Genomic DNA, 14,829 nt, shown 5'->3' with positions numbered 1-14,829 from the left:
TTCAAAAACATTACACTTAGTCAAAGAGACCAGAAACAAAAGGCCACATACTGTCTGATTCCATTTACATAAAATGTCTGGAAAGTACAAATCTGTAAACACAAAAGGTATTTTGGTTGGTATAAACACATAAAGCATGGTGGTTGTCTGGAGCTGGGGTTGGGGCTAGGAATAGGGATTAAGTATAAAAGAACATAAGGGTTCTTGTGGAGGTGATGAAAGTGTTCTGGGACTGAACAGGCTTGAGGCAGGAGAATCACCTGAGCCCAGGAAGTCAAGGCTGCAGTGAGCCATGATCACACCACAGTACTACAGCCTGGGTGATGAAAGACCCATTTGAGCCAAAAATGGGTCTCAAAAAAAAAAAAGTTCTAAAATTGGATTGTCGTGGTGTTTTGCACAAGTTGGAAAATTCACTAGAAGTCATTGAGCAGTACACTTAATACAGATGAATTTTACACCAAATAAATTATATGTCAGTAAAGTTTGTTGTTTCTTTTTTAAAGAAGTTCTCAAGTCTCATTTTTTTTTGGTCTTCATAGAAGGCTACTAAGCACTTTAGCAGGCGAGGCACCTGTAGATTGTTTGCAGGAGCTGTGTCTGGTGTGAAAGACAACTCTTCAGCTTAGCAATGACTCCTAATACTACATAGCATTTGTATATTCTAGGACAGTTCTTCTCAAAGTCTGGTCTGTAGACCAGTATTGATCCATGGGCACTGTTACTGTCTGAAACTGGTCCATGACTAGTTACAGAAATTGAGACTAAGTGTTTAGAAATTTTAATAGCAATTTGACCAATTAATATATCTCCTGAAACTGATATTTGGACTTGTATCATATTTCTTTGGCTATTTTTTCCACTTAATTTTTCTAGTTACCCATTTTTATTGTATTTTACAAAAGACACTATCAGCCAATGAGATTATAAAAATGTTGCGTTACCACAAATAGTTCAAAAAACATTGCTCAACAAAGTTTTTCTACCATCCTACAACTGGCCATCATATAGACTGGTAGGTCAATTATCTTGTCAAACTAACCTTTAAAAAATACATAAACATGCTTTCAAATGCCCCAACTACCCTGGTGGTACAATCAACAGTAATTTTTTTTTTTTTTTTTTAGAGATAGGGTCTCACTCTGTCACCCATCTTGGAGTGTAGTGGTGCGATCATAGCTCACCACAGGCTCCAACTTTGGCTCAAATGATCCTGCCTTAGCTTCCTGAGTAGCTGGGACTACAGGTGCAAACCACTACACGCAGCTAATTTTTAAAAATTTTTTGTAGAGATGGAATCTCACTATGAGGCCCAGGCTGGTTGGTCTCAAACTCCTGGCTTCAAGCAATCCTCCTGCATCAGCTTCCCAAAACACTGAAATTACAGGGAGGAGCCACCTCACCCGGACACAACACTAAATTTTAAGTCCTTCTATATAACCCAGGTTTTTTTTTAAGACAGAGTCTCGCTCTGTCGCCCAGGCTGGAGTCCAATGGCACAATCTCGGCTCACTGTAGGCTCACTGCAACCTCCACCTCCCAGGTTCAGGCAATTCCACTGCCTCAGCCTCCCACATAGCTGGGATTACAGGCATGCGCCACCATGCCCGGCTAATTTTTGTATTTTTGGTAGAGACAGGGTTTGGCCATGTTGGTCAGGCTGGTGTCAAACTCCTGACCTCAGGTGATCTGCCCGCCTTGGCCTCCCAAAGTGCTGGGATTACAGGTGTGAGCCACCACACCTGGCCCATAACCCATATTTTAATAGATGTTCATTTGTTTTTCCATTTTTATAAATAGACTTTCAAGTTTATAATTAAAAGATAAAAATTCAAGCTATATATAATTAATGTCAATTCTTCCCTTTCCCTTAAAAAAGTAGGTTTGAATTTGCAAAATAAATCTACTCTTTGAATTCTAATAAATTATGGTCCTAGGAAAGGTCCTATAAAACAAAACAAGACAAGCTAATTATATTTTCATTTAAAAATAACAGTACAAACCAAATATGTTCCTATGTCCATTTGGAAATTAATCCAAAACATAATATATAAATCAGTATATTTTAGGCTGGGCACAGTGGCTTATGCCTGTAATCCCACCACTTTGGGAGGCTGATGCAGGCAAATCACTTGAGGCCAGGAGTTTGAAACCAGCCTGGGCAACATGGCGAAATCTCATCTCTACAAAAAATACAAAAACTAGCCATACAAAAACTGTGGTGGCATGTACCTGTGGTCCCAGATAATCGGGAGGCTAAGGTAGGGAGGATGGCTTGAGCTGATGAGATGAGGTTGCAGTGCACCAAGATCATGCCACTGGACTCCAGACTGGACAGCAGAGCGAGAACTTGTCTCAAAAAAAAAAAAAAGAAAGAAAGAAAGAAATCAGTATATTTCATATAGTATACAACACGATGTCCCAAATGTATGTCAATGAATTAAATCAGGCAATATAATAACCAAGGATACACATATACTCAAGAGATCTCTAGGAGAGGTGCTTTATAATTCGGTGGTCAGCAAATAGCTGGAAGACTCAGGACAACAGCAGAACAGAAGCCATCTAGGATCCCACAGACATGCTGAGATGCCTGTAGGCCTCTTAAGACACATAATCAGGAGCAGAGGCACATAACAAATCACTGATTGCACTAATTGTTTTTATACTACCTGGATGAGATGTTTAGATAATGTACACTATATAATAGAGATAAACTTAATTACTATCAAAAATCAATACATATCTATAAAAAGGAAGTAATTCAAATCCCGAGTGTCCAACACAAATTAGCAGTATTTGAGCACAATGAACTAAAATGTTTCAGCCACCTTTGGTAACAGGTAGTACAATGGAGAAAATGTAAAACTAGGAGATAAGTGACCTGAGCTCTACCCTGGCAATAAGACTTTAGACAAGAACATCTTACTCCCTTCATTTCCCTATTGGACACAAGTGATAAACTAGATTATTTCTGGTCCTTTCAAGAAATATACATTACAGTTTGTGATTTAAATACCAACAATGCAAAACACCACCACCACAAGGAATACACTGCCTTAAAAGGTTACTGTGCTTCTTCTAAAATGAACCCTATATAGACGATTCATTTGGAAAATAATCTTTCATTTATGCCTTGAAAAGAAATTAATTCCTGCCATAAAGCCATTTAATTATTTTTCAAATAATTTTGATAACATTTTTCAATAATTTTGATAACATTTTCAATAATTTTGATAACATTTAACATTATAACTGACTTGCAATTTACCATCTTGATCACTTTGGAATTATTAGTTTGATAACCCATTAAAAACCATTTTTTTCAAGGCCAGGTGTGGTGGCTCACGCCTGTAATCCCAGCACTTTGGGAGGCCAAGGCCAGCAGATCACCTGAGGTCAGGGGTTCAAGACAAGCCTGGTTCAATATGGTGAAACCCCGTCTCTACTAAAAATACAAAAAATTAGCTGGGTGTGGTGGCTAACGCCTATAATCCCAGCCACCTGGGAGGCTGAGGCAGGAGAATCCCTTGAACCTGGGAGGCGGAGGTTGCAGTGAGCTGAGATCATGCCACTGTACTCCAGCCTGAGGGACAGAGTGAGACTCTGTCTCAAAAATAATGATAATAATAATAATAAGTCATCATTTTCAAAAAGCATTTACTAAGAATCTCTACATACGTCATGTTTGAAAAGTGAGAGGAAATGGACATAAAATTAAACAATGTTTCAAATACTAAGTATTTTATAAATGTAATGTAAGATAACCACACAAATACACAAAATAACTTTTTATACAGTGATTTTTCTTTTAATATAAGCCTGGAGGGAAGGAATTATTATATTTAAAAATCTCATTAACTAAGAGTTAACTCAGGCATGCTGCTCCAAGTAATCTCTTATCCTTCTATAATCTTAAAGTTTCTCTAGATAAAGAAACCACCATCATTAGCAGAAAGTGCAGGAAAGAAGGGCTAACATTTTCCCCAAAAACTACAGAAATAGTAATTAACAACTTTAACAAGTCTATGCTAATTCAGCTTTAAATCCTCTAGCTCTGAGAAGATTAACAATCCATTCAGGTTAGATTTCCCAATGGGTGTTGGTTACTAGAGAATTCATTAGAGTATCTAAAATGCTGGTTTCTGGACCTCTCTGATTAATCTCTGATTAAATTCTAAATAACATCACTTTTATTAGGCAATGAGTCAGCCTGCATAAATTCATGTAGCCAAAATTATGCATATATTCTGAAAACGCATATAATCAAAGCTGAAAAAAATGTGCTGGTAATACAAAGATTGGAAATGTGTTAGAATCAAGTCTTTAGTGAAAATTGAGATGCTGGGTTTAAGTATTTTAAAGAAGTTTAAGAAATGTTTTGGCAAAGTGCAGGAGACTGGCTGATGGGGCTTAGTATATAAAGGCCCATATGAAAGTAATCCAGAAATACAGCAGACATCATGGAAGTTAAGTTAGTCTGCTTAAAACAGAGTTGTTAAATAGGATAAGGCCAGCTGGTAGCAGCCCTTGAAGCATACACAAAAATATGATTAAGTACATTTCATGAAAGGAACCGAAACCTAGCAAAATAACTGAATCACTTCTAGATAGGCAGAGCTTCCTGATTATCCCAAATACCTAAAGATTTGTGAAGTTACTCAGCAAGGCTGATAAATCAAGAGTGAAGAGCATTATTATCTTTTGAAGGCTATAACTGGCATCATCACTGTCCTCCCTGATCCCCTCACAAATCCTACCAACTTGGGGTAAAACAAAATTCAACTGAAATCTAAAACTATATTATGCTTTTAGGCTTTTTGTTTTTGCTTCTCTCTCTCTCTCTGCGTGTGTGTGTGTGTGTGCGTGCGTGTGTGTGCGCATGCACGCGCGCCTGGTTTTTTGTTTTGTTTTTCTTTTGGCTTATTTAAGTAGAAGTTTTCAGTGAACTCACTTTGAAAACAATTCTTTTCAACAACAACAACAACAAAAAACCCTTCAGTTCCTACTGCTCATGTGGAAGCTCTTGCTCAGCCTCCAATTAACCAACCATCATAATCAACCAATATTCTCTAGATTCCCCTTCTAAAACAAACTGACAAGGATGCTTATTAGGCTGTTTCAAACACTCCACTGTGTGCCAACCAAGAGTAAGCTGGTTTATTCCCTTACTGTTTAGACAAGGTGTTCTTGCAACTGTGGAATTTGATTATACTATCTAAACTAACAAAATAAGAGTGTGAAGAGGCCGGGCGCAGTAGCTCATGCCTGTAATCCCAGCACTTTGGTAGGCCAAGGAGGGTGGATCACGAGGTCAGGAGATCGAGACCATCGTGGCTAACACGATGAAACCCTGTCTCTACTAAAAATACAAAAAATTAGTTGGGCGTGGTGGTGGGCACCTGTAGTCCCAGCTACTTGGAAGGCTGAGGCAGGAGAATGGTGTGAACCCAGGAGGCAGAGCTTGCAGTGAGCAAGATGGTGCCACTGCACTCCAGCCTGGGTGACAGAGCGAGACTCCATCTCAAAAAAAAAAAAGAGTGTGAAGAGTTGTTTCTATTAAAAGTAAGTCACACACACACAAAAAAAGGTTCAATGTTTGGCACAATTTAAGACGATTAACTTGAAAAAATAAGAATGCTATTGAATTGAGTATAGGTGAGACTACTGTAAAAGATTTGGGAGAAATGGGCTGGGCACAGTGGCTCACGCCTGTAATCCCAGCACTCGGGGAGGCCTAGGCGGGCGGATCACAAGGTCAAGAGATGGAGACCATCCTGGCCAACATGGTGAAACCTCGTCTCTACTAAAAATACAAAAATCGGCTGGGCATGGTGGCGCACACCTGTGGAGGCTGAGGCAGGAGAATTGCTTGAACCCGCGAGGCGGAGGTTGCAGTGAGCCAAGATTGCACCACTGCACTCCAGCCTGAAGACAGAGCAAGACTCCGTCTCAAAAAAAAAAAAAAAAAGAGATTTGGAAGAAATAAAATATTAAGATTTGACTCATAGATTACAAATGTCCTTAAGGTCTTCCTCCATTTAAAAAAAAAACTGGAAATCATAAGTGATACATTATGGGTATGGTTTATGCATGAAAAACTGATGTAGAGTGTCAACTGATAGAGTCACACACAAAGAAAAGGCGTTGGCCCTAGATCAGAGTTTCTCAATCCCAGTACTGTTGACATTTTGGATGGGAGAATTATCTGTTGGGAGCGGGAGATATTGGCCTGTAAACTGAAGGATGTTTGGCAGCATCCCTGGCTTTGCTATTACCCACTACATGGCAATAGCACTCCCATTGCAGTAGTGGCAATCAAAAATGTCTCCAAATGTTGCAAAATGTCCCTGGAGGGTAAAATCACCAGTTGAAAACCACTGCCCTGTAACCAAATAACTAACAAATGCATGTATGTCTATATATTTTGATTAAAGTAAAATGTTTAAGTCATCAATTTTTAATGCTTTTTACTATAACCAAGTTTTTAAAATCAATTGATCAACTCCTAGTTCAAGTTAAGTCATTTAAGATGTCTTTTGCATACACAACAGGAAGAAAGACAAAAAATAATTCTTCACCTGATCAAGTGCCAAATGAGATATCTTTGTACATGATGATAGTCCCACCTCATCCATATCTTTTGCTGAGATCAAGACAGAAGCACAGGATTATTGAGGAGGTTGGAGCAAGGAAAAAAGAAAGAAAAAACAGCAAAGGGAGAAAAAAAAGGAGATGCAAGAAACAATTCTCAGATGGTTGGAATAGTGGCACGAGGAGAAAGCTTATTACCTCTTGCCTTCTTAGTCCCATTCACAACAATGTTTACCACAGGCCAATCTAACACCAAACAAGAGGTTCCTACTAAAATTACTCACCAAGGTAGATAAATCAAGAGTGAAGAGGATTATTCCCTTTCAAAGGCCACAAGTGGCATCATCACTGCCCTCCCTGATCCCCTCACAAATCCTACCAACTTGGGGTAAGACAAAATTCAATTGTAATCTAAAACTATATTATGCTTTTAGGCTTTTTGTTCGTTTTGCTTCTCTCTCTCTGTGTATATGTGTGTGTGTGTAAAAGAAAGCTTAAATGTATGTGTGTGTGTGTGTGTAAAAGAAAGCTTAAATGTCCACTGGTGGGTAAATGGTTATATTATACTTCATTTGTTTACATTAAGAAAGTGAGGTATGTCTTTACGTGCTGACACCATTATATATTGTTAAAGAAAGAAATATAAGTGGTAGTATGACACCATCATAGAGAATACACTTGTAACCTGAAAGCAAAGCAAATTATTAACAGTATTTATCTTTTGGTATGGCACGTTGCATTTTGCATAACTGCCACAACAATATTTCCATCATACATGCTCTTTGAGAATGTTGCCACTCCTCCCATCAAAAGGTGGAGTGTAGTCTCTGTTCCCTGCTCTCCAACACAGGCAGGCCTGCATGACTGCCTTCGTGAGTAGAATGCTCTGGAAGTAATCCTCAAGTTTCCAAGGATAGATCATAAAAAACAATAAGCCTGACTTCCTTTCTCTTTTGGGACACCTGCCTTTGGAGCCCTGAGGCACTATGTGAGAAGTCTGGCTACCTTGAAGCCACCATACTGAAGAGACCACACAGAGACAGGGAGATGCCTAAGGAGACATTATGTTTTCCCCATAATGTCTCATGAGTAAGCTAGCTCAGATGACTGAAATTACTGAAGCAAGCATACCCCATGTGCAGTACTGAGATCTGTGCCTCACGGTTGGGTCCTCTTTCTGATCCTATCAAAACCAAACTATGAGCTTCCTGAACGGTAGGCCTACATCTAACTCATTGTTGGCTAAATAAGTGGGAGTTAATAAATGAACTGTGAAAATGAAGGAGGGATGGGAAAGAATGTCATTTCTCTGATCCAGTACCCTCAGTACTAGATAGATTGCTGTGTCTAAGTTCTTGACAAGTATTATTGGCTGTAGCTGGTACCAGCGACAGGGGTACCAGAAATTTTAGGTTCACTATCTTCTGAGGATAAATTCAGTCCCCTCACCCCTGCCCCCTACCAGCGGCAAGTCAGCAGAAAATTCAAGGATCTTACACTTCAACTAGGAATCCAATTCATATACATAACATGAAAACTAAACTATTTAGAATGTCACATACCTTACAAGTAAATACAAAAAATTACAATAATGATTGAGTATGTAAATGCAGCTTATATGTCGAGTAAATGACTGGTCTAAGTGTGTCGAGGTTCACTGGGATATGTCTCTTCAGACAGAAGGATTTAACTGGGTTTTAAGTATAAGGTTTTAACTAGTAAGATAAGGATATACAAATACATTAAGTGGGTAAGGTAGCAAATGCCAAGAAACAAAGGCTGAAAATATACAGCAGAAGGAAAGGTAATTTACTTGAATGCAATACAGAAAATGACTTCTGGAATAAGAAAATAAGACATGGAAAAGGGAGGAAAGGAAATGTTAGCAAACCCATCACAAAGCACAGGGACGAAAATTTGGCATATGGCACAATTTGAACTAAGGTATAGTAACCTCTTAAATGACTTGATGAAAAGTTTGATAAAAATTATTCTAAGAGTGCTGTGCACCATGGAATAGAGTAGGGAAGTGGCAGGAAGGCCAGTTTTACTGCTGCAATCATCTCAACAAGAAGTAATGAGGATGGCAACTATAGACAATAAAGGAAAAGAATAATCTAAGAGATGTTATGGGGTGAAAGAATCAGCAGATCACTGACAAATTAGGTGAGAGGAGGAGGGAGAAAAGTACAAAAAGAAAAGTACTAAAGGGAGATTTAAAGCCTTCAAATCTAGGAACTTCAAGACCAGAGGTAATTTTAACAAGAGAGAAAAGAATGATGGAAGAAACACTTGTATAGAAAAAATTTTAAGGGGAAATATTACATCAAATGCAGCTAAGAGCTAAAAAAGGAAAACTCAGAAGAAAATAAATACACAAAGAAAAAATAAATTAGCCAGAAAGGGATTATTTGCAACAAATAGAGAATTCTAAAGATTAAGGAGGGGAGTATTACCTAGGAAAAAGAACAGGACAACTAATAATAAGATAAGGTGTAACAACCACTACTCTAAGCACTTTGCAAATGTTGAATCATATACTCACAAGAATCCTATTATGTATATGAATAAATAGTATTATTTATCTATGCCCAGTTTACAGATGAGACACATAGAGGTTTACACAAAATTACAGGGTTAAGTAGTGGAGATCAGATTTGCACCTAGACAATATGGCTCCAAAGTTCATGTTCACAACCAGCTCAATATTCTAAGAGTAATTAAGACTCCAAAAAGAATGACAGACCTTAAAAGGTGAGAAATTAATTCATGAGTGCAAAGGTTCAAGAGATGGCTGATATTCCAAAGTATATAAGGTTAAAAAACAAACAAAAAAAACTCGCTTACCAGATCCAGAAAATTAGAATAAAGGAGAACTTAATGACAAAAGGTGGGAATAAAAAAAGACTGTCTTCTTAAGAGTTCATATACAAAAATACAGAGTTTAAGAAAATGAGCTGATGCCATAACCATAAAAACTAGATGTTTAGGGCATAATACTGTTAAGTACAACATCTAGAAAAATAATCATATTTACGCAAAATATAGCCCATGTCACGATCTACTGACATAAGCAATCAGAGAGGATGGACACAGTGTTTAATATGAGGCAGGCAAATATCAGGAAAGAAACACTCCCAATTATAAACAGATATTTGAGACTTCCACAGAACAAAGCATATAATAGGTTCTAAGTAGACATTATGCTGTCTATGCATTTTCCAAGCATTCTGAGGACTATACCAATTAGAATTACCTGATATACTTATGAAGGATATATATTCCTGGGCCCATCTCAGATTTTAGGAATCTGGGGGTAGAACTCAGGAAACAAAATATATATATATATATATATTTTTTTTTTTTTTTTTTGAGACGGAATCTTGCTCTGTAGCCCAGGCTGGAGTGCAGTGGCGCAATCTCAGCTCACTGCAACCTCTGCCTCCCAGTTCCCAGTTCAAGCAATTCTCCTGCCTTAGCCTCCCGAGTAGCTGGGATTACAGGCGCGCCATGATGCCCAGCTAATGTTTTAGTATTTTTAATAGAAACAGGGTTTCACCATGTTGGCCAGGCTGGTCTTGAACTCCTGATCTCATGATCCGCCCACCTCAGCCTCCCAAAGTGCTGGGATTACAGGTGTGAGCCACTGCGCCCAGCCAGAAACTAAAATTTTAATACTTTTTCCAGGCAATTCTTCAACACAAAAGTTGAGATCACTGTTTCCTTCTGTTGTAGCCTAAGTGCTTAGAACTCTGTGACTCCCCAACTATTTATCTCCTGTGGCTTTGTAATCTGACTCCAATCTTCTAGGTTCCTTAGTTGCCTATCCTTGACTTGTACTTATTTCTAAAAATCTTGGCCCTGGTTTGGTAATATAATAAAGACTTGGATATGGAAATTTTAGCTCTGAAGTCCATATAAACTCCAATACTGACATAGGAATAAAAAGCTCCAGTTCCTTTCCCTGAAATCATGGAGCTTTTGTTAAATATCACCTATGGTGTTGACTGGACATTGGATTGACCCAGTATGTCAATTCTTTTGTTGCCAGATCTGCAGAGAACAAGATGCTCACTACTACAGACTCAACTATTTGAATTCCTGCTTATTGTCTCTAAAGAAAGAAGGCACAAATTTTCTTGTCAGGGATGAATGACATTTGCTAAGAGAACAGTTGTCACTATATAGATAGAGGGTGCCTATGAGAATGTTCCAGTTCCTAGAGTAGTGATGAAATGAGTTCTCCTAAGATGTCTCTAGATCTTAATGATGGGACAAAAGAATGTCTACTTGATATGAATAAGAGCTTCTTTATTCAATAAGGGATAGTCTTTGATAGCAGCAATGAGGATCCTGATACAATGGCTTCTAGATACTTTCATGCTTAGTAGGTTAGTGATCCAAACTGTAGAGATAGTACGTTCATGTATCCAGGGCTACCTCTCATTCTCCTTCCTTAATCCTAGCTAGTTCTTATAGTCCTACTTTGTCATCTTTCTGGTTTGCCTGAGGTGACTAGAATAAAAAGCAAATCTTAAATTATAGGAGTCTTTTGCTATTTCCAGCAAACTGATCCTTGCAGAAAAGGATTAAATCCAACCTATCTTTGTATCCCACAAAGTACCTCATCACGCACTGCTAGACTTGACATGTTTAACTGAGTGCCTTGTTCAACACCAACAAGAGAACCCTCCTCATAAAAAGCATCTAAAAGCTTAAGCCTCATATAAAAGGTGCTTTCCACGCTACCTCCCACCAAGGTCACGGGATAAGGATAGACATTTAAGTCATGGTGGTCATGCAATGCATTCAGATTTCTCTCTTGCCAACTGAACTAAAAGAAACACACTGTCACCATCAACAGGTAAACTCTAGTTGAAAGAACAGTTCAAGTCAACACCATGGCAAATCAAATCCACTTACCAGTCAGAGAAGCAGAGACTATGAAAAACCAGGGCAATACAAACAGAACTGGAAGGGAGAAGTGAGAAAGGGAGATGAAGCAGACATGGAAGGAGATGCTGAGACAAGAAACCATTTATCACCAGAACGAGAGCTTGAGAGACTAGCTTCTCAGATTCCTAACGTTTCTCCCATTCACACAAGGTCTAGTCACTCTTCTTCAACCCAAAACAGCTGAATCCCTACAACGCCTGTCCTTGAAGCCAAATGATCCCTAATTCAAGCATTATTTTTTAGTACGTACACCAAGACAAATAGAAAGCTAGAAACATAAATCCAAGGAGGAAAAAATAATTCTACCAGGAAAAAACTGAAATCACAGGTAGCCAAAAAGCTTTGTAAATATGAATCTTATTTATCAGGAAGTACCATCAATATTTGTCATATTCCTGCTAATGAAACAAATTAAACTTTGTCTTTTTTTAATAGAAATTATCACAGTATTGACAAATGAAAAATTGTCTCAAACCCAGAGAAGACAAAAATCAGGTGATCTACCTTTATTTGTTAATACATTTGAAAATATTTTGTTAGCCTGTTTAAAGCAGACTTCCGTTGTTGTCTGTAATAATCGATAGTATATTGGATTAACAGCCTCATCTTTTAAGACAGGCTTTATAATCATATGGCTGATTAAGGGGCAGCAAAGTATAACCAACCCTGTAACTATCCTTTAACTTGTACCTAACAAAAATAGTAACCATAACCTCCCCTTTTATTCTGTAAAGATCCTTTTTCTGAAAATATCTTTGAACTAACTTCCTTTAAAGCTAGTTCCCTTGCAACAAGTACAAAATAAAACTATGACATATGCTGACAATCAATTAATCTGACAAGTTTGCATTAACACTGTCAAAACCAAACTAATGTCAAAATAGCTGTAATTTTGGTTATCTAACACAGATTCTAACATATCCTCTCTAGCAACAAACATACCATGTAAGCCTTGAATTTATTTAAAATTTAAATCTTTTTTTGTTTGTTTGTTTGAGATAGAGTCTCGCTCTGTTGCCCAATCTGGTGTGCAGTGGCGCCACCTTGGCTCACTGCAACCTCCGCCTCCCAGGTTCAAGTGATTCTCCTGCCTCAGCCTCCTGAGTAGCTGGGAGTACAGGTGTGTGCCACCACGCCCGGCTATATTTTTGTATTTTTAGTAGAGGCAAAGTTTCACCATGTTGGTCAGGCTGGTCTTGAACTCCTGACCTCATGATCCATCTGCCTTGGCCTCCCAAAGTGCCGGGATTACCGGCATGAGCCACCACGCCCAGCCTCATTTAAATCTTACACATTTTATTTGTGGACAATTTCAATGTTATCGTTAACTTTTACCAGAAAATTTTAATGGGTCCTAATATTATAATTCCTCATTTAAAAAAAAAAAACTAGCCGACCAGTGGCTTACGCCTGTAATCCCAGCACTTTGGGAGGCCAAGGCGGGTGGATCACCTGAGGGGGGATTCGAGACCAGCATGACCAACATGGAGAAACCCCGTCTCTATTAAAACTACAAAATTAGCCGGGCATGGTGGCGCATGCCCATAATCCCAGCTACTCAGGAAGGCTGAGGCAGGAGAATCACTTGAACCTGGGTGGCAGAAGTTGCGGTGAGATGACATCGCGCCATTGTACTCCAGCCTGGGTAACAAGAGCGAAACTCCATCTCAAAAAAAAGAAAAAAAAAAAAAACCTAGCCAATATTCAGATTCTCATAACAAAAAAAAAAATTGGTATGTTTGCAATGTCAGGTTCATCTAAAAAATAAACTTTTAAAAGAAAGTTTAAGTGGAATTTTTCATAAAAACTTTCAGGATGTGCCAATGCAACACTTAATGACAGAGATACACTCTGAGAAACGCACCATTAGGCAATTTCATTGTTGAGCGAACACCATAGAGTGTACTTACACAAGCCTAGGTGGTATAGCCTATTGCTCCTAGGCTACAAACCTGTACAGCATGTTACTGTATTAAACATTGTAGGCAACTGTAACGCACTGGAAAGTATCTGTGTTTCTAAACCTTGGAAAAAGTACAGTTAAAATATGATATAATCTTATGGGACCACTGTCATATATTCAGTCCGTTTTTGACTGAAACATCATTATGTACTACATGACTGTATTACATAAGGCAAAGAGTGAAATTACTGATCCAATAATTGGTTATCTTTCTCCTTAGCTATATTGACAAAACAACAGAACTTATGAAGAGGAGGAGAATCATTCAATCTTTGCAGTAAGAGTTCTGTACCTTGATTTTGGTGGTGATTATGCAATCTACACACCTGTGATAAAATGGCATAGAACTATACACACACATTGTACTGATGTCAATTTCCTGGTTTTAATATTGTATTAAAGTTATGTAGGATGTAACCAATAGGGGAAACTGGGGAAAAGTTACAGTGCCCTCTCTATTTTTGCAGCTTCCTGTAAACTATAATATGCCAAAAGCATCCTAAGGACTTGCCAGCACTTCAAGGGCTCACAATAATCCTATGAAGTAGGTACTATTTTTATCCCCAGTCTATTGATGGGGAAGCTGAGGTACAGACATTTTAAATGATTTGCCCAAGGTCACATAGCTAGTAACTGGCAAAAACCAGGATTTGGACACAGGTGGTATGACTCTCAATTTTTGATTTATGTCAAAGTCTGAGGAGCCACTAAAGGATTACAGGCAAAGTATGGTTGACAATCAAATTCACATTTTATTTTGGCAAGATAACTCCTACTAGGAGCTTAGAATGACTAATGAAAAAAATTCAAACAAGATTAGTTAAGAGACTGATGCAATAAACCAGAAAGGATGAAGATATGAAATAAGAGAACATTAATAGAAAGAAATGTATACAAAATACGAAACCAACTTGACTTCACGATTGGATGAAGAGTGAGAACTTCATCCAATTTCAAGGCTTGACTGACTACACACAAGCCAAGGATTTCATGTTTTAACAATACAATACATTATCAAAATTTTTTTTTTTTTGAGACTGAGTCTCACTCTGTTGCCCAGGCTGGAGTGCAGCGGCGCAATCTCAGCTCACTACAACCTCCACCTCCCAGGTTCAAGCGATTCTCCTGCCTCAGCCTCCCGAGTAGCTGGGATTACAGGCATGCACCACCATACCCAGCTAATTTTTGTCTTTTCAGTAGAGACAAGGTTTCGCCATGTTGGCCAGACTGGTCTCGAATTCCTGACCTTAGGTGATCTGCCCACCTCAGCCTCCCAAAGTGTTGGGATGACAGGCATGAGCCACCATGCCTGGCCT

At 38.5% G+C, this 14,829-nt stretch overlaps 1 protein-coding gene across 35 annotated transcripts in view, besides 1 other annotated feature; it reads right to left on the bottom strand.

Annotated features, from left to right (window-relative positions):
• Positions 1-14,829, bottom strand: part of HMBOX1 (homeobox containing 1) — a 163,155-nt gene that overhangs the window by 143,050 nt on the left and 5,276 nt on the right. The window lies entirely within an intron of this gene.
• Positions 7,595-7,694: an enhancer, noted in NCBI's record as "active region_27176". NCBI's record gives its function as "activates an Ori minimal core promoter by ATAC-STARR-seq in GM12878 lymphoblastoid cells {active_cell/tissue: GM12878}" and the evidence as "EXISTENCE:reporter gene assay evidence [ECO:0000049][PMID:35858748]".

This window comes from Homo sapiens, chromosome 8, assembly GCF_000001405.40.
Source record: "Homo sapiens chromosome 8, GRCh38.p14 Primary Assembly".
In the NCBI taxonomy this organism is placed as follows: Eukaryota; Metazoa; Chordata; class Mammalia; order Primates; family Hominidae; genus Homo; species Homo sapiens.
Note: the sequence above shows the minus strand (reverse complement) of the source record. Positions and strands in the feature narration are given on the sequence as shown.